The following is a 23,154-nucleotide window of genomic DNA, read 5'->3' on the forward strand; positions in this document are numbered from 1 at the left end:
ACTTCATCTATAGGAGATATCCACAATTGGTAAATTAGTAGAGATAAACTGCAGACTGGAGGTGGCCATAGATGAGCGGAAGAAGGGAGCACGAAGCATCTGCCTAACAGGCATTGGGTTTCCTTTTTTGGTGATGAAAGTGTTTTGGGACTTGATAGAGTTGGTCGCACTGCATTGTGAATACAGTCAATGCCACTGAATGGTTCACTTTAAAATGGCTTTTTATGTTACGTACGTTTCACCCAAAAATGGCATAAAATGTTGAGGAAGACCTTCTGCTGTTACGTCTTTTGTACTTCTGTGATACTTGAACTTCAGGTACTTTAAAAATAATTTTCAGTATGTTTATTTCAAATGTACATGAAAATTTACCATTTAAGAAAAATTAGCCATCATTGCTGGTCATCTAAGAAGTAGAAGTTTCACATGTCAATAATGATAATGATAGCTACTTTTTTACTTCCTTGTGTGTGTCAGATAACATTCAGAGTACGAGTTCTCATATCCAGCATCGTCCAAGCGGGAGTTGATGTGCTCTCCGAGTTCTAGATGAGAAAGCTGCGGTTTGTGAATAGTTTGCCCTGAGCCACAGTAGTTTTAGGTAGAGCTGGTGCTTGAACCTAGATCATTCTGACTCTAATCCAGTGTTCTTTCAGCTGTGGCACACTGCTTCATGGCTGGTGGTTCTGATACAGATGTTTGATGAGTAAAATCCGTAGTATTAAAAAATGCATCAGTTTAGGCTTATTATTGAGCACAGTTTAAAATTTACTTTTTTATTAAGAATATTTTCTGTTGACCTCCTCCTCAGTTTCCAGTATTTCACAGTTACCTCTTTGAATGGCATTGATGGCAGCCTCCTTGTGTGCCTTTCTGTAGTTTGCTGGACCATATTTACAACATTTGGACTGTGTCATTTTGGAGTTCTCAAGCACATTCTTATAGAAGTAAACTGGAAGAATGTTCTCTGTTACTTTTTTCTTTTGAAAAGGAAAGCCACTTATAAATACGCTTTGTTTGGAAGCAGAAAATATTTTAACCAGTATATTATCACAATCACACTGAAATTATTTTGAGTTATCTTGTGTTTTATTTTCTGATAACTTTTTTGGGTGTAGGAATTTTCTATGTATGTTGCTGTTACTTTACTTTCTTCTTGTTTATGACTGCTTGTTTTTGTTTTGTTTTGTTTTTAGTAGAGGCAGGGTTTCACCATGTTGGCCAGGTTGGTCTCAAACTCCTGGCCTCAAATAATGCACCCGCCTCAGCCTCTCAGAGTGCTGGGATTACAGGTGTGAGCCACCATGCCCAGCCTTTCTTGAAGTGTACTTAAATCATTTTTGTTTCCGTGGTCTGACACCTGAGCAGCATTTGAAAAGGATCCATCCCAGTATTTCATTCAGGAACATTCAGTATACATCCTGGTATTAGATTGGTGCAAAAATAGTTGCACCAAGTAATTTTGTCATTGGAAGTAATGGCAAAAACCACAGTTACTTTTGCACCAACCTGTATTTCTGCTATGTAATGATATTTCATGAACACCTTCCATTTTTTATTATTAGTTCTCTGTGGCTGGACCAAGGTAGATATACTCAGATGTGGCCATATAGACTCAGGAGTGGTTATAAACACACACACACACACACACACACACACTCACTCTCAAGTGGGTAGATACACTCAGGTGTGGCCATATAGATCCAGGAGTGGTTATAAACATACATACACACACACTCAAGTAGATACATAAACTCATTACCACTGTTTCTTCTCAGGTCACCCTTAGAGGATCTGTGTGAATTCATTTCTTCATGATATATCAACTACAAGTCTTTCCATCCTTCCTTTTCACTTGAGATGTGTGTGCTACCTCTAGGTCTCACCAGTGCTTCTAACCAGGGAGATACTTCTTAGTCACTAAAGCGGACTGAGGTCTGCCCCCCGCAGCCTTTGAACAGCCCTTAGCTGGGCCTGGCTGATGGGACTTTACTGGCGGCCCTGCAGCTCCTGGCCTGGCTCCAGCTCTGACTCCAGCTGTCTCTTCTGTCCGAAGTGGGAAATGGACTCCTCACTGCTGATACTGCTCCATCTTTCCTTTGCGGTAGCACTCTCCTTTCAAAGTAAAAAGTATTTTCCAAAAGTGCATCTGATGCCATTTTATGGCTTAGAACCCTTGAGTCGCATGTGACTCTCCAGCTCCCTGTGGCCTGGCTCTGGCCACCTGCTCCAGCTCCTTCTGTGATTTCCGAAGTGTGGTTGTACTGGTTTTTCCTTTAGTTCTTTGGATAGGCCTCTCCTTTTCCCTCTTAGAGACTGGCTTTTAAAGTAATAGCCACTCTGTCTGGTGGTTCTTGTTCTGTCCTGTACTGTTTGGCCACTTCCTACTCAAAACTTCAGGTTTTATTAAAAGATTATCTTAGAGAGTTCTGCCTCGATTTCTTCCAGTGTTATTCCCCACCCCAGCCCACACATACATCCCATGGCACCTGTACCTCCCTGTGGGGAGTGGCGTTACTCTGAGGACTACTTTAATTCCTGGACTCTCAGTTTCGTGAGCTTGGGGTCCTGGTTTCCCCCAGAGTAAGTAGAGTCATTGGCATGGCATGTGGTGAGCACTCAGTGAACTGCGGGAGTCAAGAAAGAAAGAAGTTCCAGATCCAGATGAAAGTGCTGAGCCTGGTCTAAGGCCAGGGGGCTGCCCTGTGAGATGGCACCAGTTTGCGTTTCCATTGTGCCAACAAATGTCCTTCCTTGCCCACTCATTCCAGTTAAAAAAGTTTCATTGTTCATTTGTGATCTTTTATAAATTACTTAATACCTTTTGTTTCTTTATCTATTTTTACCTTATTACAATTTTTCTACTAAAAGGAATTTGCCTTTGTCACATGTAGCAAATGTTTTTACCTTGACTTATTTTTAAAAAATCATTTTTCTTGGATGTAATGTATAATTTTTATATAATTTAAATATCCTGATCTTTTGTGATTTTTACTTTAATCTTGGAAAGTCTACTCATTCCCCATATAAGTGAGCATTGTGTTTTCATACAGTGTTTCTGGATTTTCATTTTTTGTAGTTAAGGTTTACTGCATTTGTAATTTTACACTTAAGATGTATACTATGTGGAGAAGGGATCTTTCTTTTCTTTTTTCCCCCACAAATGCTCAGCAGTTGTTTTGAAACCATGTTTAAAGTTAGCAGAGTTCTTCCCCAGACCTTTGAGACTTAACCAGGTTTGTTGTCCAAGGACTCAGAACATGAGCTGGCTCCACTGAACCTGTGCCTCTCAGCCTGAGTACAGTATGGGCCTTATGTGCACCAGAGCTAATCTCAAGATGAATTTTATGTTTTATATTACTTAACATGAAAAGCCCCAGACTCCAAGTCATCCTTCAGATTCTGCATTTTAATTACCATGGGATACTGTGTATCTTTATTCTTACCCTTGGTCTTGTTTCACTGTGCTTCCAGAATTCATGTTCTGTTTTTCCCTTCATAACCTGAAGCTTTTCTATCTATGGATTCTTCTCTGAATGTGCCTTCTTGCTCTCATTAAACTGTGGCTCTTTTCTGAGGGCCCACATCCTAAACAGACTCTTTGGTAGCTCTAGTTTTGGCTCCTGTAGCCTTAGTGCCACTCCACCTGCAGTTAGGCCCCTCTTTCCGGCTCATTCTCTTTAGTGCCTGGACTTCAGTTCGTTTTCAACCTCCAGTTTATTGACTTTGCATCCTTTCTACCATTCCTAGCCCCTTCGATCTTCTATTTGAAGAAGTCCAGTTGGTCAGTTTTATTTATGATTGTGCTTTTGTTGTTCTAAGAACTCTTTTCCTAACCCAGGTTTTACAAATGTTTCTTTCTGCTCTGTTTCTCCTGTTTTCTTCTAGAAGTTTTTTTAGTTTTAGGAATTATACTTACGAATATCCATTTTGAGTCTATTTTTGTCTACTGTGCAGAGTATGGGTGTTTTTTTGCATATGGCCATTCAGTCGTTGTCAGTACTGTTTTTTGAAAAAGTGATCCTTTCTCTACTGCATTGCCTTTAAACTCTTCATGTAAGTTTATCTCTGGACCCTCTTTCTGCTCCATTGATCTGTTTGTCTGTCTGTAAACATCATGCTCTTTTGGTTACTGTTGCTTTATAATTTTTGAAATCAAGCCTTCCACCTTTGTTCTTCATTTTCAGAGCTGTTTTTGTTAAGGAAATACAAAGGGCCTACATCTAACAACTAATACTAGTGTATTAATACAACTAATTATTAATACAACTAATTAATACAACTAATACTAGTGTATTATTTGGCTTACCAATTTCTACAAAAAAGCCTTCTGCAGTTTTGAATGGGATTTCATTGAATCTGTAAATCCATTTGGCAGAGAACTGACATTTTAATAATATTTAATCTTTTGACCCATGTGTGAGATACATCTTCCCCTTTAAAATTTTTTTCTCAGCAGTGTTTTGTTGTTTTTTGAGGGTTAGTTGTCTTTTATCTCAGCTTTCAATATTTTGTTACTGGTTTTGAGCGATTTGATTATGATGTGCCTAGGTGTAATTTTCTTTATTTTTTTATGCTAGGGATTCATTTAACTTTTTGAATCTGTGGGATATAAGTTGCATTAAATATGGAAAGTGTTTAGCCTTTATTTCTTCAAATATTTTTTCTTCCCTCTCCAGTGTCAAGGTTTCCAGTTATACCTGTATTAGACTGTTTGAGGTAGTGACACATTCATTGATGTTTTTAAATTTTTCTTTTAAATTCTTTTTTCTGTTTTATTTTGCACAGTTCTATTGCTGTGTCTTCAGATTTACTGTTCTTTCCTTCCACAAGGTCTATTCTATTGTGTGTTAGTCTGTTCTCACGCTGCTAATAAAGACATACCCAAGACCGAGTAATTTATAAGGAAAGAGGTTTAATTGACTCACAGTTCAGCATGGCTGGGGAAGGCCTCAGGAAACTTACAACCATGGAGGAAGGAGAAGCAAACACGTCCTTCTTCACATGGTGGCAGCAAGGAGAAGTGCAAAAAGGGGAAAAGCCACTTACAAAACCATTAGAACGCACTCACTATCACAAGGGTAACAGCATGAGGGTAACCGCCCCATGATTCATTTACCTCCCACCGGGTCCCTCCCACAACATGTGGGGAGTATAGGAACTACAATTCAAGATGAGAGTTGGGTGGAGACACAGCCAAACCATATCATACTTTAATTTCATTTGTTGTATTTTTTATCTCAAGCATTGTTTTTGTGTCTGGAAGTTTGATTTGGGTCTTTTTTGTATCCTTCATGTCTCTCACTTTCTGGTCTGGGAATACAGTTTTCATAGCTGTTTTCATGTCCGTGTCTGCTAATTATAACATTTGTGTCAGTTGTGGGTCAGTTTTGATTGAATGGTTTTTCTCCTCGTATGGGTCATATCTTCTTGCTTCTTTGCATGCCTATTAATTTTTTATTGGATGTCAGACATTGTGAATTTTATCTTTTTGGGTGGTGGATATTTTTATATTCCTGCAAATATTGTTGAGTATTGTTTGGGATGCTGTTCAGCTACTTGGATAGGCCTTGCTTTGTTGCATCATTGGACAGATCTGGGGCATGCTCCATGGGGTTGGTTATTCCCCAGCGTGAGGCCAGACGTGCTCTGTGGGTCATGGGCTTCTCCAGTCTGGCTCGAAGGGCACTTTGTAAACATGGGCATTCTCTGTTCCTTTTGGATATCCCCCGTCACTGCCTTCCTTTCTGGACACTCAGTTTTTCTCAGCATGCAGGCATGTTCTCCTTCAGGAACTCTGCCCTGGCCCTTCCTTCAGCCTCTGCATGCTCTTAGATGCCTGTTCGTGGCCTCCGCACTGTTTCCTGACTCCTGGCTCCAATGCCTCCTTTTCTAGGCGTCCTCTCCTAACCCTGCAACAGTCACAGATGCCCACCTTTGCTCTCCACCAGCATCCTGGGCCGTGTGCTCTGCCCTCATTTTTCCATAGCACCTGCTACATTCCAGCATGCCATACACCCTTTAAAGGTGTGCCATTGTCACTAATGTAGCACAGGTGCCTGCAGTAGGAACTGGAATGTAGTAGGTGTTGAGGAAATGGGTTAAGTACTGTCTTCAGATTTTGTGGAGGTTTGCTGTACTTCTTTCTTGAAGTATGTTCTCAGTGCTTTAATACATTTTAGGAATTCATCCATTTGAATTCGCTTCTGTGGAGTGTTTTACAGCCTAGAGTAGTAATGCCATCTACATCATAAGATAAATTGTAACTTTTTGTTCAACTAGAATTTTTACCAGTATTTATGTTTATTAGGTAAGAAATTTTAGAATTAGCTAGAAGATAGCAGTAATTTTGTTCAACTCAGTTTATTGGAATTATTTTTAGGAACGTTTATATGAAATATGTGGATGTTGTGGCCTGCAAAGAAACTAATATGCTCAAGTGACACAGTTTTACATGAGAAAGCTCCAGCCTGGACCTCAGTGTTTTTGACTTACATTTCACACACCTTTGCAAGCAGAATGGAGAGGAATCCTAGTTTGTTCACTCAGCCACTTCATCACGAAATGTTTATTGTGTACCTGCTTAGGGCTTTGGCACATCCCATTTACTTACTTAAACGATATGCCTCAAACTCTACAGAGATACATGGATGTGAGTAATTTGGCAATGAGTCTACCTGCTTTTGCAGTTGAAGATCTTAGAGATCTAAGTTTTGTTTACTTTGATCAGCATATTCATTTAGTTTACTTGTGAGGTGGTAAACTATCATCTCAACTAAATTTGTTTATAGAAAAGTAAGTTATACTTTATTTCACTTTAATGGATGGATATTAAGATGTAATGATTAATTACTAGAAGTATTAGAACCTTCTGTTCATTATTGTTGTTCTTACATTAAAAAAAAAAAAAAAACCAGTATTGGCCGGGTGTGGTGGCTCCTGCCGTATTCATAGACTGATGTGGGTGGATTGCTTGAGCTCAGGAGTTTGAGACCAGTCTGGGAACACGGTGAAATCTCATCTCTACAAAAAATACAAAAATTAGCCGAGTGTGGTGGTGCGTACTTGTAGTCCCATCTACTCCAGAGGCTGAGGTGGGGGGATCACCCGAGCCAGGGAGATCGAGGCCACAGTGAGCCATGATTGTGCCACTATACTCCAGACTGGGTGACAGAAAATAATTTAAAAAGTTACTTAATTATCTATCACTCATACCTTGTGTGTGTGTGTTTGGATATAAATACATTTTTATCCTTAGTTGCTAGTATTTGTGTTTAGTAGGTCTTACTTTGCTATGTGCCTTAATCCGTTATGACATTGACTCATTTTAACTACTTAGGACATTTTACTTAGGTTGTAAGTTCCTTTGATTTTAAAATGGGTTAATTTTTTATAGTAAATCCACAAACCAGTAATGTGGTCATTTATTATCATTATCAAGTCTGTTCAGTACATAATCGAGTGTGCTAGACTTTGACACAGCTGCAGTGCTGTGGATGTTTTGCAGCAGGATGTTTTATACCACAAACACGTGACTCCCTCCTTGTGCTGCGGTGGCACGTCAGCTACTACATCACTGGGACAGTAAGAATTTTTCAGCTCCATTATCATCTTGTTTTCCCCAAAGTGGCTGTATTTTATTTTGTTTTCATTTTTATCTTTTAAATTTTTGTGAGTACATAGTAGGTATATATATTTGTGGGCTACATGAGATATTTTGATGCAGGCATTCAATGGGTAATAATCACATCAGGGTAAATGGGGTATCCATCCCCTCAAGCAGGTATCCTTTGTGTTACAAACAGTCCACTTACACTCTTTTAGTTGTTTTAAAATGTACAAGTATTTTTGACTGTAGTCACTTTGTTGCTCTAGCAAATATTGTCTTATTCATTCTTTCTATTTTTCATACCTATTAACCATCCTCGCTTCCCCCCACAACTCCCACTAACCTTCCCAGCCTCTGGTAATCACCCTTCTACTCTCTGTCTCCATGAGTTTAATTTACTATGGGTAAATTTTGGATATGCATTTGGAAAGAAGAAACTACATGTCATAAAAGTATATTTCAGTTACCCTTTAAACCTATCGTAGGATCTGAAATTTAGTGGATACTCAGATATTTAAATATTGATAGCATTTTAAGCACATTATTTACAGGTATATATAAAATATTACTGGTGTTAATGTGGGTTATTAAAAGCTTCACAGAGGTTAGACTTGCTGTGTCATTAAGTCTGGGAAGGGAGGGATTTCAATCCAAGGGAGCAAGTGCTGGGAGCTTCTGCGAGTAAGTGGAGGGACGAGGTTCCCGGTGAGGTAGAGCAGGGGCCGACAGAGATGGAGGAGCCAGCTGGTAAAGCCTGGCAGCTAACTTAGGGTCCATTTTGAGGAACTTATATTTTTTGATACAAATATGATTATCTTCTAAATAATTATCATCGAATGGAATTTTTTGGGGGGGAATTTCTTTAGTTTTTTTCAACTCATTCATTTGGAATTAGGGAAATTATAGTATTATATTTTCTTTACACGGGCAGAAATTAATGACTGGTAGTGGGGTTGGTGGGCAGGTTATATGTTTAAGAAGCATTGGTATAAGAACAGGTGGTTATGGCCAGGCACGGTGGCTCATGCCTGTAATCCCAGCACTTTGGGAGGCCAAGGCAGGTGGATCATCTGAGGTCAGGAGTTCAAGACAAGCCTGGCCCACATGGCAAAACCCTGTCTCTACTAAAAATACAAAAAAAAAAATTAGCCGGGCATGGTGGCGGGTGCTTGTAATCCAGCTACTTGGGAGGCTGAGGCAGGAGAATCACTTGAACCCTGGAGGCGGAGGTTGCAGTGAGTCGAAATCGCACCACTGCACTCCAGCCTGGGCAACAAGAGTGAAACTCCATCTCAAACAGCAGCAAAAAAAAGAGTAGGTAGTTATTTGGTATACATTTGGATCTTTCTCAGAGGAGCCCATATAATTTGTTGTTCATGGGAACAAGTGAGATGAATGCTTTTCCTCTATGAGGAAAAACCCACTTGTGCTATTATGTTTCTGAAAAATAATGGAAGGGAACATTTATTGCTAGAAAGATTTAGTGGAAATATTTAATTGAAATAGTTTAGAGAGTGGAAAGTACTGTTGTTACCTTACTTGGCGATACCGTTTGGCTGTGTCCCCACCCAAATCTCATCTTGAATTGTAGTTCCCATAATCCCCATGTGTCATGGGAGGGACCCAGTGGGAAGTAATTGAATCATGGGAGTGGTTACCCCCATGCTGTTGTGATAGTGGGTGAGTTCTCACGAGATCTGATGGTTTTATAAGGGGCTTTTCTCCCTTTGCTCGGCACTTCTCATTGCTGCCACCATGTGAAGAAGGACGTGTTTGCTTTCCCTTCACCATTATTGATTGTAAGTTTTCCAAGGCCTCCCCAGTTATGCTGACCTGTGAGGCAATGAAACCTCTTTCCTTTATAAATTACCCAGTTTTGGGTCTGTCTGTATTAGTAGGGTGAGAACAGACTAATATACTTGGTCACTATTAACTAGTTCATTAAAAAACAAAAAGCTGATAATACACGACTTACTGAGTGTGCACTTGATAGTATATTGAATAGGATAGTTTTAAGAAAAAAATATGTCATTAGATTTAAATACTAGCATTTACATTGAAATGTCTTTGCTACTGTATTAGAGCTTCCTTCTCTATCAAGTGCAACTCTGAGATTATTAAATTCTGAGTGTCCATTTCCTAAACACTTTGTGTCGTCGATTGCTCTGTAAGATTATTGAGGCCAGGTGACAGTTGTGTGTTTTATATGTGCCCAGTGACTCTTAAAATTGGGAGATTTTTCTGTTTTTACCAGCCTCTCTCAAATCTGATATTAGTATATTACTAGGATCAGTTGTCAGCTCCGTCAACAAAGTGTTAGCCAGAAATCAAATATTTAATGTAAGTGTAGGCTGTTAGAATGTGGCAGAAAAAGTAATTCATGCTGGACCTTCACTGGTGGACAGGTGTGTGAAAGCGGGTAACTTTCCTCCCCTGTGTTCTCTGTCCAGTGCCTTAAATGTTCTTTGGCAAAGAGGACAGCAAATAAGTTATTTAAGAAGCTAGGACTTGATAACAATATGATCATTTCTTCAAAATTTAGATATGTGTACTTTGAGCAGATATATAAGGCAGGTGGTCATACTATTTTGTTACTGTACTCTGTTTAGCTTTCTAATACTTTGTTCATTGTGTAATAGCATTTTGAGAACTTTTTATGCTGTATTTGATCATAAACTTTTTTCGTTAAACATGTAATTGAAGGTAATTTCCATAGAAATTAATCGTGATCACTATATAATGCCTGAGAATTAAAGGCTATTAAATATGTTAACTCTCTTACCGTGCTACAGAATAATAAATCTCTCAGAAATGTTAGATCTTAATTACAGAGTCAGAAAGGATATGTTTTCTATTCAAAATGTTTTAAAGTTATTTACTGTATTATGTGTTATGACTGTAGTGTTTCTTTTTCTCTCCTTTTAAGATGTGTTGATTACAGAGAATGTGAAAAAAATAGAAGGAAAGAAGGGTGAATTGGATAGCTAGGAGAGAGGGTGAAATTAGATGATGAAGTAGGAACTTTAGGTCAGTGGGGCATCTCTACTGCCGGATGCTTTGCTGTGAAAAGCATAGCAGTGGGGGAGGAGGCCTGAAGCTCCTAATGCTCATAGGAATTAAAGTGGACATTTTATTACAATTAATGATTTTAAAGCTCAGTTAAGATTTGTTTCACACGTAATTCTAAAGACCATTGCTATTTTATAATATAAATAAAAATAGCTTCAGCCCTTATTGGCTTGTATAATTGAGGCATGTAGAAAAAACTACAACATAATGCATATAAAAGTTTTGATATATCCAAATCTTTAGGAACAGTGTGATACTACTGAAATACAGCTGCTTTAAGAGGTATTTGGGAAATACGATCTTTTAATAAGTTGGATATGGGTCTAAAAGTCAGTGTAACGAGTGTGATGTTAGTTTTTGATAGCTGTCAACATAAACTGAATGTAAAAGGAAGGAACATTTTCCCTTGTTAGGACAGTAATTACAAAAATGTAAAAATTAACACACAAGGCCATTGCTAGTCTTAAAAGAGAGTGAGACAGGGAGAGAGTGAGGAAGTGAGGGAAAGAGGTTGGGAGAGGCCCAGGAAGAGAAAGAGGGGCAGAGACAGACAGAAAGGGAGGAAGGGAGGGAATGAATTTGCCTGTTTTGTTACGTGTGTCTCAAATTATGGGTGCAACATTCATCTACTCTACATCATATTATACATGATATTTAAGTATATATGAAACTTTGTCAACGACTATTCTACATTAGATGTTTCGTAGATAAGAATTTATTCACATAGAGAAATCACTTTTAGTAATAAAGTTTTAGATATAACTTTTTCACTCTTCTCCTGTGTTGGTAAAGCTATTGATAGAGGGTGATTTTACATATAATTTGCTTTATTTCTTTTTTGGTCAGTTATGTGCTAATTAATGCCATTTATGATATTAACTTAAGGATTTTTACATCTCTGTGTTAAGTTTTAATGCTGAGATCATTTAGTAATATTTCTGATCATTGTTGACTTGGAACTGAAACAATTACAAAACATGGGAATAATCTTCTGAGTGTAGTCCCCTTTTAAATTACTACGAAGAAATTCTCCCTCTGTTTTTATTGGGAGATAAAAAATTATTTGTGTTTGGCAGTTTACTAAGAGAAGTTAATTATTAGTGACTGTCTGAAAGTACAAGTATAGGGAAATTTCTAAAGTTTTTTTTTCTGTAGCTTATTTCTAAAGTAATTATTTTTTAATTGAAAGTTGAACTTGGGTGTGCTGTTGTTTCCTTGAGTTGACTGTACTTCTTCTTTTTTTAAGGTAAAGTGCAAGTTAAGAGTTCAGACATACAAGTTGGAGACCTCATCATAGTGGAAAAGGTTGATGATTTTTTAATATATTTTAGACCTATGTATGCTAGTTATTAATGTTTAGCCTGATTATAAGTAACTTCTGAATTTGAAAGAAATTGAGACATGTATTTTGAATCATAATATCCTTGTGTAAGATTTGTTGTATGTGAAGAAAAATCTAGATTTTTGTATATTGTTTTGCTAAAGTATATTTCAGTGTGTGCAGGCAAAGTCATATTTTTTCTGAAATAAGATGGTTAACTGCTTAATGTTGCATTATCAAGATTATTTTATATCATCACAGAATTGTATTCAAACCTGTTCATAATACTGTGCTTCAGTTTTCAGAACTTCCTCCTACAGGGATAATCATCCCTCAATATCCATGAGAGGGTAGTTCCAGGACCCCACCAAGGATACCAAAATCCACAGATGCTGAAATTTCTTATATAAAATTGAATAGTCTATGCATCAATAAATCCTCTGTATGCTTTAAATTAGTGGTCCCCAACCTTTTCAGCACCAGGAACCAGTTTTATGGAAGACAATTTTTCCATGGACCAAGGTTCAGTGGGCTTGGTTTTGGGATGAAACTGTTCCACCTCAGATCATCAGGCATTAGATTCTCATGAGGAGTGTGCAACCTAGGTCCCTTGCGTGTGCAGTTCACAATAGGGCTCTTGCTCCTGTGAGAATCTAATGCTGCTGCTGATCTGACAGGAGGCGGAGCTCAGGAGGTCATGCTCGCTTGCCCTCCCCTCCCCTCCTGCTGTGCAGCGCCATTCTTGAAAGGCCCGGGGTTAGGGACCTCTGCTTTAAATCATCTCTAGTTGATTTATAGTACTTAATACAATGCAAATGCTATCTAAATAGTTATACTGTCTTTTTTTATTTTTGTTTTATTCTTATTTTTATTTTTTTTCTGAATATTTTCTCTCAATGCTTGGTTGAATCCCCATCTATGGAACCCGTGGATACAGAGGGCCAGCTGTAGTTATATTACACATAATTATTGGATATAATTCATACAGTTAAAAAATTTAAGAGGGAAAAGTGAATAGAAGTAAAAGCATTACAAAAGAAGAAGTTTAGATCAGTGTACGAAGAAGCTATAAGAAAAACATCAAAGGTCCAACGTGGAGATTGTCAGGGCTGCTGGCGGTGTGGAGAGTGACTGAAGGTGCAAGCTGCATGTCGGGGGAGCTGGCGGTGTGCAGAGTGACTGAAGGTGCAAGCTGCATGTCGGAGCTGGCGGTGTGGAGAGTGACTGAAGGTGCAAGCTGCATGTCGGGGGAGCCGGCGGTGTGCAGAGTGACTGAAGGTGCAGGCTGCATGTCGGAGCTGGCGGTGTGCAGAGTGACTGAAGGTGCAAGCTGCATGTCGGGGGAGCTGGCAGTGTGGAGAGTGACTGAAGGTGCAAGCTGCATGTCGGGGGAGCTGGCGGTGTGCAGAGTGACTGAAGGTCCAGGCTGCATGTCGGGGTTGCTGGCGGTGTGCAGAGTGACTGAAGGTGCAGGCTGCATGTCGGGGGAGCTGGCGGTGTGCAGAGTGACTGAAGGTGCAAGCTGCATGTCGGGGGAGCTGGCGGTGTGCAGAGTGACTGAAGGTGCAGGCTGCATGTCGGGGCTGCTGGCGGTGTGCAGAGTGACTGAAGGTGCAGGCTGCATGTCGGGGGAGCTGGCGGTGTGCAGAGTGACTGAAGGTGCAAGCTGCATGTCAGGGGAGCTGCCGGTGTGGAGAGTGACTGAAGGTGCAGGCTGCATGTCGGGGGAGCTGGCGGTGTGCAGAGTGACTGAAGGTGCAGGCTGCATGTCGGGGGAGCTGGCGGTGTGCAGAGTGACTGAAGGTGCAGGCTGCATGTCGGGGGAGCTGGCGGTGTGCAGAGTGACTGAAGGTGCAGGCTGCATGTCGGGGGAGCTGACGGTGTGCAGAGTGACTGAAGGTGCAGGCTGCATGTCGGGGGAGCTGGCGGTGTGGAGAGTGACTGAAGGTGCAGGCTGCATGTCGGGGGAGCTGGCGGTGTGCAGAGTGACTGAAGGTGCAGGCTGCATGTCGGGGGAGCTGGCGGTGTGGAGAGTGACTGAAGGTGCAGGCTGCATGTCGGGGGAGCTGGCGGTGTGCAGAGTGACTGAAGGTGCAAGCTGCATGTCAGGGGAGCTGCCGGTGTGGAGAGTGACTGAAGGTGCAAGCTGCATGTCGGGGGAGCTGGCGGTGTGCAGAGTGACTGAAGGTGCGGGCTGCATGTCGGGGGAGCTGGCAGTGTGCAGAGTGACTGAAGGTGCGGGCTGCATGTCGGGGGAGCTGGCGGTGTGCAGAGTGACTGAAGGTGCGGGCTGCATGTCGGGGGAGCTGGCGGTGTGCAGAGTGACTGAAGGTGCGGGCTGCATGTCGGGGGAGCTGGCGGTGTGCAGAGTGACTGAAGGTGCGGGCTGCATGTCGGGGGAGCTGGCGGTGTGCACAGTGACTGAAGGTGCAAGCTGCATGTCGGGGGAGCTGGCGGTGTGCAGAGTGACTGAAGGTGCACGCTGCATGTCGGGGGAGCCGGCGGTGTGGAGAGTGACTGAAGGTGCAGGCTGCATGTCGGGGGAGCTGGCGGTGTGGAGAGTGACCGAAGGTGCAGGCTGCATGTCGGGGGAGCTGGCGGTGTGGAGAGTGACTGAAGGTGCAGGCTGCATGTCGGGGGAGCTGGCGGTGTGCACAGTGACTGAAGGTGCAAGCTGCATGTCGGGGGAGCTGGCGGTGTGCAGAGTGACTGAAGGTCCATGCTGCGTGTCGGGGGAGCTGGCGGTGTGCAGAGTGACTGAAGGTCCATGCTGCATATCGGGGGAGTGCATTCGGAGTGTTCTCATCTGTCTCATCCCTGACCACGTGAGTACGCAGGACACCTGTGTCTGTGTTAAGGGAGTTCGTTCCTAAGTGCTCTCATCTGCCTACTTCCATGACTGTGTGAGTAAAAAGGGCTCAGGTCACACACAAGAAGGAAGAAATTGGAAACCCAGGAACACATATCAGAGGAAACCAACTGAAAACAAATAATAAAATGCAGACGTACGTTCTAATGGTCTAAATACGAGACAGAATGGATAAAAAACAAAAAAACCAAGACGCATTTCTATGTTGTGTGCACGAAAGTCTCTTCAAATACAGTGACATAGATAGGATGAAAGTAAAAGGATAGAAAAATAGATACAATGTAAAATTAAACAAAAGTAGTAGGAGCTATGTTAATGTCCAAGAAAGTGTACTTCAGAGTGAAGAAAATTAACACAGACAAAAAGAGATGTTATACAACAATAATAGGATTAATCCATCAGGAAGATACAATGATCATAAATTGTTACTCACCAAACAACAGTTCCATAAAATTCGTGAATCAACAAGTGTCAGAGCTGAAAAAAGTAGGCAAGTCCAGTTACAAGTGGTTACTTCAGCACCACCCTTCAGGCATTGGATAAAAGTAGGGGATAGACGCTCCGCAGTGATGTGGAAGATTTGCATAGGCAGCAGGAGTTGCCTAGCATGCATAGACCACCGTACCTGTCAGTAGGAGAGAACACATTTATTTCAAGTGTCTATAGAACATTCACCAAGATAAGCCATTTTCTGTACCATAAACCTCAACAAATTGAAAAGAATTGAAATCACACAGAGTGTGTTCTCTCACTGTAATAGAATTGTTAAAAATCAGTAACCAAGGCAGCAGGAAAACTCTAAAACGTGGAAAGTGAACAGCACACTTTGAATTAATTTATAGGATAGGTAGTCTCAAGGAAACAATACATACAGCTGAATAAAAGTGAAAATTCTGCATTCTGGAATAAGTGGGATGCGTGTAAGGGCACTGCTGGGAGGAATTCTGTAGCATGAAACTCCTGTGGGGAAACAAGCAGAGGTCTTGGGTCAGTAATCTAAACCCCTACTGCAAGAAATTAGGAGAAGACAGCAAAGTTAAACCAAGGCAAGCAGAAGGAAGGGAATAATAAAGATACAAGTAGAAGTCAGTAAAATGGAAAATAGGAAGACAAGATAGAAAATCAATCAATACAAAAGCTGGTTCTTCTAAATAAGTTAATAAAATTGATAGACCTTTAGCAAGGAAGACTGATCAAAATAAAAAGTGATGTCACAAATCACCAGTATTAGTAATGAAATAGGGGCTTTCACTATAGATCCTGCAGCCATTAAAAAGACAGTTATGAAATACTACAAACACCTTGATGCTCATAAATAGAAGAAATGGACAAATTCTTCTGAAACCATAAAGTATAAGAACTCAGTCAAAATGAAATAGACAATATCAGTAGTCCTGTAGCCAATAAAGAAGCTGAATTAGTAATTTAAAGCTCTAGGAAGGAAATACCTAGGTCCAGGAGAATTCCTTAAAACCATTACAGAAGACTTAGCATCAACTTTGCACAGTTATTTTCAGAAAATAATTGAGAATGGTACACTACCCAACTCATTTTATGAGGTCAAGAATATCTTTATCTCAGTACCAGAAAAAAGTACAATAAAAGAAAACTGCAGCCCAGTTGGTATCAGCAGTATATAAAGAAGAGTAATACATCACAACCCAGTACAGGTTATTCCAGGTGTGTAAATGTGGTTCAGCATTCTAAAATCAAGCAGTGTAATCTACGCTATCAACAGAATAAAGAAAAATCACACAATCAGTTGTTGCAGGAAGACCATTTGACTTAACCCAACACTCATTCATGATAAAAACTCTGAGCAGGTTGGATTAGAGGGACAGTAACAATATCTTGTTTAAAAAGAATCTATAAAATACTTAATGGTGTAAGACTGAATGCCTCCTCTCTGAGACTGGCGACAAGGATGTTTGCTGTTACTGTTACTCAATGGCACTTCTAGTCTGTAAGGCAAGAAAATAAAAGATGGATTAGAAAAGAAATAAAAATGTCTCAATTTGCAGATGACATAACTACGTATACATGTACATAAATACATATACATATATGTTGAAAACCCCAACGGATCTATAGAAAATCTCCTGGAACTAGTGAGTTCAACATCGTGTCAAGTTATAAGATTGATGCACAAATATGAACCTCATTTTTATATAATAATGAAAATGTGGGCACAGAAATTAAAAATGCAGTACTCTTACAGTCATTGCTATGAAAATGAAATCTATGCTGAAACTTACAATGTGTTGATAAAAGTAATCTAAGAAAACATAAGTAAATAGACCCATCTCTTTTCGATTGGAGCATTCTGCATTCCAGTTTTCCCAAAATTGTTTTGTACACTTAATACCATTCCTATCAAAGTCTCAGCAGGGTTTTTTTCTTCTTATTTTTAAAGACATAGATCATCTTACTCTAAAACTAATTCGGAAAGGCACAGGTGTAGAACAGCTAAACCAACTTTGACAAGGAAAATAAAGTGAGAGGAATCACCCTTGATGTGAAGGCATATTGCGTAGTTACATTAGTCAACATAGTGTGGAAGAAGGATAGAAACAAAGGTTAACAAAACATTATAGAGAAACCAGAATTAGACAAAGGTGTGAAAACAATTAAGTGGAGAAAAGGTAGCCTTCTCAAATGGCGCTGGGCATCCTGAGGTTTAAAAAAAAAGATCATGGACTTAATGTAAAATGTGAAACTGCAAAACTTTTAGAAAAAAAAAATATTTAGAATCTAGGAATAGGAAAATATTTCTTAGACTTGATACCAAAAGGACAATGTGTAAAAGGAAAAATTGATAAATTGCATATCATTAAAATTAAAAATGTGTGCCTTGTGAAAACCATGTGAATACAATGAAAAGCTACAGATGGAGAAAATATTTGTAAACCATATATTCAACAAAGATTTCTGTCTAGAATATATAAAAACTCCTAAAACTTAACAGTAAAAAAAAAAAAAATTTGAAATTAGAAAATGAGCAAAAGATTTCAAGAGACATTTTGACAAAGATTTACAGATAGAAAATAAACACATGGGCCAGGCACAGTGGCTCACACCTGTAATCCCAGCACTTTGGGAGGTCGAAGGGGACGGATCACAAGGTCAAGAGATCAAGACCATCTTCGCCAACATGGTGAATCCCTATCTCTACTGAAAATATAAAAATTAGTTGGGTGTGGTAGTGTGCACCTATAGTCCTAGCTACTTGGGAGGCTGAGGCAGGAGAATCGCTAGAACCCGGGAGGCAGAGGTTGCAGTGAGCCAAGATTGCGCCACTGCACTCCAGCCTGGTGACAGAGCAAGACTGTATCTCAAAAAATAAAAAAATAAAAATAAACACATGAGCAGGAATTCAACATCATTAGTCATCAGGAAATGCAAATTAAAACACAATGAAATATCAGTATGCATCTATCAGAACAGCTAAAATGAAAAAATGGTGACAATACCAAATATTGGAAACAATGTGAAGAAGCGGATCACTTGTATATTGCTTGTGGAAATACAAATAATACAGTTATCCTGGAAAATCGCTGGATAGTTTCTTAAAAAAAAAAACTGTAACTATCATACTACCCAACAGTTGCACTCCTGGACGTTTATCACAGAGAAATGTTAAATTATGTTGATTCAAAAAAACCTGTGCAGGAATGTCTGTATCTACATTATTCACAGTAGCTCAATTCCAGAAAGTCCATATATCCCAGGTGGGTGACTGGTCAGAGAAGTAGCTGTGCGTTCACACCGTGGCATGTGGTGTTAGGAGAACACAGGGCTCCTTGCTCTTGTGGTGCCCCTAGTTTTGAGGGGAAGCAAAAAGAAACAAAAAGTGTCCATAATTATTTGAAATTATCTAGTTTGTTTATGAGTACTCCATAGAAAATAAGACAGAATAAGGACATAAAGAGTCTGAATATGACATTTTTAAAAATACTTTTAAAGGCCGGGCATGATGATTCATACCTGTAATCCCAGCACTTTGGGAGGCCAAGGCGAGAGGATCACATAAAACTAGGAATTTGAGACGAGCCTGGACAACATAGACCAAAATTTAAAGAATTAGCCAGGCACAGTGGCATACATCTGCTGTCCTAGCTACTTGGGAGGCTTAGGGAGGAGGATTGCTTGGGCCCGGGAATTCAAGGCTGCAGTGAGCCATGATCATTGTTGAAACGTATTAAAGAGACCAAAGTAAATGTAAGACAGTTCATGCCCATGGTTAGAAGTATGTTATTCAAAAGGCAGTGTTCCCTAAATTGATCTGTAGATTCAGTGTTACCCCTCTCAAAATCCCAGTTGATGTCTTTGCAGAAATTGACAGGCTGATTCTGAAATTCATAGGGACATTGAAGTGACCCAGAATGGCCAAAACAATTTTGAAAAAGATGGACAAACTTTGAATACTCGCATTTCACTATTTCAAAACTTAATGCAGATTTACAGTAATCAGCATTTACAGGAACTAGCATTACATTGAGAATCCAGAAATAAACTCAGAAATTTATGGTTAATTGATTTTTGGCAAGAGTGCCTAGAAAATTTACCGAGGTGGGAGTGTGTTTGGGCAGGTGCTTTTTTGGCCCCATGTTCTTTATGAGATACATCCATGTTGTTGTGTGGTTGTTACCCACCCATTTGGGTGTTATATAGTGTGGTTTTTATCTGTTTTCCTGTCGATGGGTTTTTAGGTTACATCTAAGTTTTGCCCATCATGAAGGATACTTTTGTGTCATATTTGACTATATTTCTTGGTGCATACATCCACACATTGCTGTTGCAGGTGTGCCTAGGAGTGGAGCTGCTGTGTTTTGGGTTATGCAGTTCCGCTATGGTAGACCCTGCACGTGGTTTTGCAAAGTGGTGTACCAAATTCTACTCCAATCAGCGTGCCTTGGCATGTTTGCCAGCATGTGCATTTTCAGCCTTTTAAAATTAGCATTTCTGATATGTATGTAGAAGTGTTTTTTTTTTTTTTTATGAAGTTCTGGGATACATGTGCAGAACGTGCAAGTTTGTTACATAGGTATACACATGCCATGGTGGTTTGCTGCACCCATCAACCCGTCGTCTACATTAGGTATTTCTTCTGTTGCTATCCCTCCCCTAAACCCAGAGTGAGCAGGCAACCTACAGAATGGGAGAAAATTTTTGCAATCTGTCCATCTGACAGAGGGCCAATATCCAGAATCTACAAAGAACTTAAACAAATTTACAAGAAATAAAACAACCCCATCAAAAAGTGGGCAAAGGATATGAACAGACGCTTCTCAAAAGAAGACATTTATGCAGCCAACAAACATGAAAAAAAGCTCATCATCATTGGTCATTAGAGAAAAGCAAATTAAAACCACAATGAGACACCATCTCACGCCAGTTAGAATGGCAATCATTAAAAAGTCAGGAAACAACAGATGCTGGAGAGGATGTGGAGAAATAGGAACGCTTTTACACTGTTGGTGGGAGTGTAAATTAGTAGAAGTGGTTTTAATGCATATTTCTATGAAGTCTAATAAGATTCAATACTTTTTCATATGATTTTGTGTGTGTCTGTCTTTTATATGACAAGCCTGCTAAAATCTCTTGGCATTTCTCTTCTGAGTTATTCTTTCCTTTCTTATCAGTTTGTGGGCTTTTATGTACTCTGGTTTGGAGTCTTTTGTTAGTTATATATGCGTTGCAGATATCTTCTTTCCTGGCAGGCTGTGTTGAACAGAAATTCTTAAGTTTAATGAAATCTGCTATTAATCTTCATTTAAGGTTAGTTTTTTAAGACAATTTTTGTTGATGGTCTTTATTAAGCATCCTTACCTCTCAAAAAGTCATGAAAATATTCTTGTCATGTTTGATGAATGACGACAATTCAGTGGGGAAAGAACTTTTTTTTTCTCTTTTAGGCATTTTATTGTTTTGGCTTTCACATTTAGAGCTGTAATTCTAGATAGATTTTTGTGTTTACATTGAAGTCGAGGTCAGGTGTCGTCTCCCATCATCCCCTGACGGTACTGGGTTTTCTCAGCGCTATTGATTGAAAACACAATTATTTCCTCACTGATTGGCAGTTTCATCTTTCTCATAGTGTCCCTATATATGTGGACCTATTTTTGGACATCTAGCTTTGTATTGGTATAATCGTCTATCTTGGTGTAATCTCATCTTTTCTTAACTACTCTAGTTTAATCTAGTTTTATTAGGTTGTACAGTTAATCCTCACATTTAATTTCTCTCAACGATATTTTATAGTTTTTTATGTAGAGGTCTTGCACATCTTTTATTGGTTTCATGCTAATATTAGTTTTTTTCCCCTAGTGTTAGAAAGAAATAGCTCTATCCAATAACATAGCTTTCTTCAGCTTTAACATGTTACCTGTTGACTGACAATCCATTTACCATTTATTATCCATTTATTTACCATGGGTAGATAAGTCTTTACTTAGGTCTCAAAAATCATACATAATTCATGACATTATGTGACGTATTCTTAATACAATTATATATTTTTTCTTTAGACTGATATAGCTTTCCCAGTTGATAGAACTATTAGTGATAATAATTAAATGTATGAATAGTGACTTGTTAGAGTTTTTATATGCCATAAAATGTCTTTGAGTTTTTCTGTGTCATGAAAGAATATCTCCTCAAATCTGTGGGGTTTTGCTTGTTGGCTTGTTCAGTCATAGATTTATTCTTTCACATCTATTAAGTGTTTTGTGTATGATGTGCTCTGTTTTGTGGGCATTGCAGGACCACAGTCCTCCTCACTTTCCAGGGCCATTTAGTCTAATAGGGAGGACATAATTTTTTATAAGGCAATACCTGCTGTGTTACATGTACAGACTAACAGAGGCCACAGAAATGGCAATATTTAACGTTTTTTTCAGACATAAAGCTTTTTTTTTTTTTTTGAAACAGGGTCTCCCTCTGCTTGCCAGGCTGAAGTGCAGTGGCATGAACATGGCTCACTGCTGCCTTGACCCTCCTGGCTCAAGCCATCCTCAGCCCTCAGCCTCCCTAGTAGCTGAGACCACAGGCATGCCACCACACTGGCTGCTTTTTAAACTTTTTGTAGAGGTGGAGCTTTGCCATGTTGCCTCGTCTGGTCTCAAACTCCTGTCCTCAAGTGATCCTCCCGTGTTGGCCTTCCAAAGTACTGGGATTACAGGGGTGAGCCACCATGGCTGGCTGACATGCAGCTTTTTTTTTTTTTTTTTTTGAGATGGAGTCTCGCTCTGTCACCCAGGCTGGAGTGCAGTGGCACAATCTCCACTCACTACAAGCTCTGCCTCCCGGGTTCACGCCATTCTCCTGCCTCAGCCTGTAGCTGGGACTACAGGTGCCTGCCACCACGCCCAGCTAATTTTTTGCATTTTTTTTTTTTTAGTAGAGACAAGGTTTCACCATGTCAGCCAGAATGGTCTCGATCTCATGACCTCATGATCCGCCTGCCTCGGCCTCCCAAGGTGCTGGAATTACAGGCGTGAGCCACCGGACATGAAGCATTTTTGAAGTCACTACTACATACCATTATATGGCTCACTTATGGGGAAAAAAATCTTAGCATTTCAATTAAAATGTGAATTAAAATATCAATTTTTTATATACAAATTGTGTTAGTTATTTCAGCACAATTTTAATTATATTATCTTAGTTGTTTTCATAGGTATTTCTTATTTGGAATGGAATTGTGTTAATTTGTAAACCTGCATATAGATAATTAATCTTTTATAATGCTCTTTGCAGAATCAAAGAATTCCATCGGACATGGTGTTTCTTAGGACTTCAGAAAAAGCAGGTATTTTTACATTTAAAAAAACTTACCTAACTGTATATTATTGCAAAAACAAATTTACAAATATCTATACAAGGAAAAACTGTTTTCCTTACATTTTTAGTATGCTGCAGCAATGAGGAATATTCTGTAGAAATGCTATTTTACTTTGAATGTAAACACATGAAACCTCTGAAAAGAGAGTCCACATTTTCATATGAAGCTACTTTACAAAGTAAAAACACATGCTGCAGTTACATTGCTGATGATTTAGTATTTTCATAGTTTAATTTTCACTTTAAAAGGTAAAAGTAAAAAGCATCCTATAAAAATTTTCTTTGAATGACAGTATATTGAATTCATTAACATCTAAATTATATTTAATTGTCAATATTTAAAAGGGTGTTTGCTGTGAAATATATTTGTTTAAAAATAATCCTTTCAGGACCTAGGTATCCAATGAGTGTTTTCATTCAGATTCATACTGACATCTAATTAAA

General features: G+C 39.4%; 2 protein-coding genes across 34 annotated transcripts in view, besides 2 other annotated features; both read left to right on the forward strand.

The window, feature by feature from the left end:
- Nucleotides 1–23,154, forward strand: part of ATP9B (ATPase phospholipid transporting 9B (putative)) — a 308,890-nt gene that overhangs the window by 62,484 nt on the left and 223,252 nt on the right. For 31 of the 33 annotated variants that reach the window (NR_148360.2, XM_017025726.2, XM_011525963.3 and 28 more), the window contains 2 exons: nt 11,925–11,983; nt 22,627–22,678. Coding sequence is in view for 31 of the 33 variants with exons in the window: in XM_017025726.2 (XP_016881215.1) it covers nt 11,925–11,983; nt 22,627–22,678 (111 nt within the window). In the remaining 2 variants the exon portion in view is untranslated. Of the gene's footprint in view, nt 1–11,924; nt 11,984–22,626; nt 22,679–23,154 lie in introns of those variants that run through there. The other 2 variants (XM_011525972.3, XM_011525974.3) reach the window with 2 other exon arrangements.
- Nucleotides 11,990–15,970, forward strand: LOC124904331 (uncharacterized). The gene has a single exon (XM_047437988.1). It carries the CDS (start codon nt 13,148–13,150, stop codon nt 14,870–14,872), a length of 1,725 nt encoding a protein of 574 aa, XP_047293944.1. The 5' UTR covers nt 11,990–13,147; the 3' UTR covers nt 14,873–15,970.
- Nucleotides 13,245–13,753: an enhancer, noted in NCBI's record as "H3K27ac-H3K4me1 hESC enhancer chr18:76905122-76905630 (GRCh37/hg19 assembly coordinates)". NCBI's record gives its function as "activates a minimal SCP1, AML or CMV promoter by ChIP-STARR-seq in primed H9 embryonic stem cells {active_cell/tissue: H9 hESC(primed)}" and the evidence as "EXISTENCE:reporter gene assay evidence [ECO:0000049][PMID:30033119]".
- Nucleotides 13,754–14,260: an enhancer, noted in NCBI's record as "H3K27ac-H3K4me1 hESC enhancer chr18:76905631-76906137 (GRCh37/hg19 assembly coordinates)". NCBI's record gives its function as "activates a minimal SCP1, AML or CMV promoter by ChIP-STARR-seq in primed H9 embryonic stem cells {active_cell/tissue: H9 hESC(primed)}" and the evidence as "EXISTENCE:reporter gene assay evidence [ECO:0000049][PMID:30033119]".

This window comes from Homo sapiens, chromosome 18, assembly GCF_000001405.40.
Source record: "Homo sapiens chromosome 18, GRCh38.p14 Primary Assembly".
Lineage (NCBI taxonomy): Eukaryota > Metazoa > Chordata > Mammalia > Primates > Hominidae > Homo > Homo sapiens.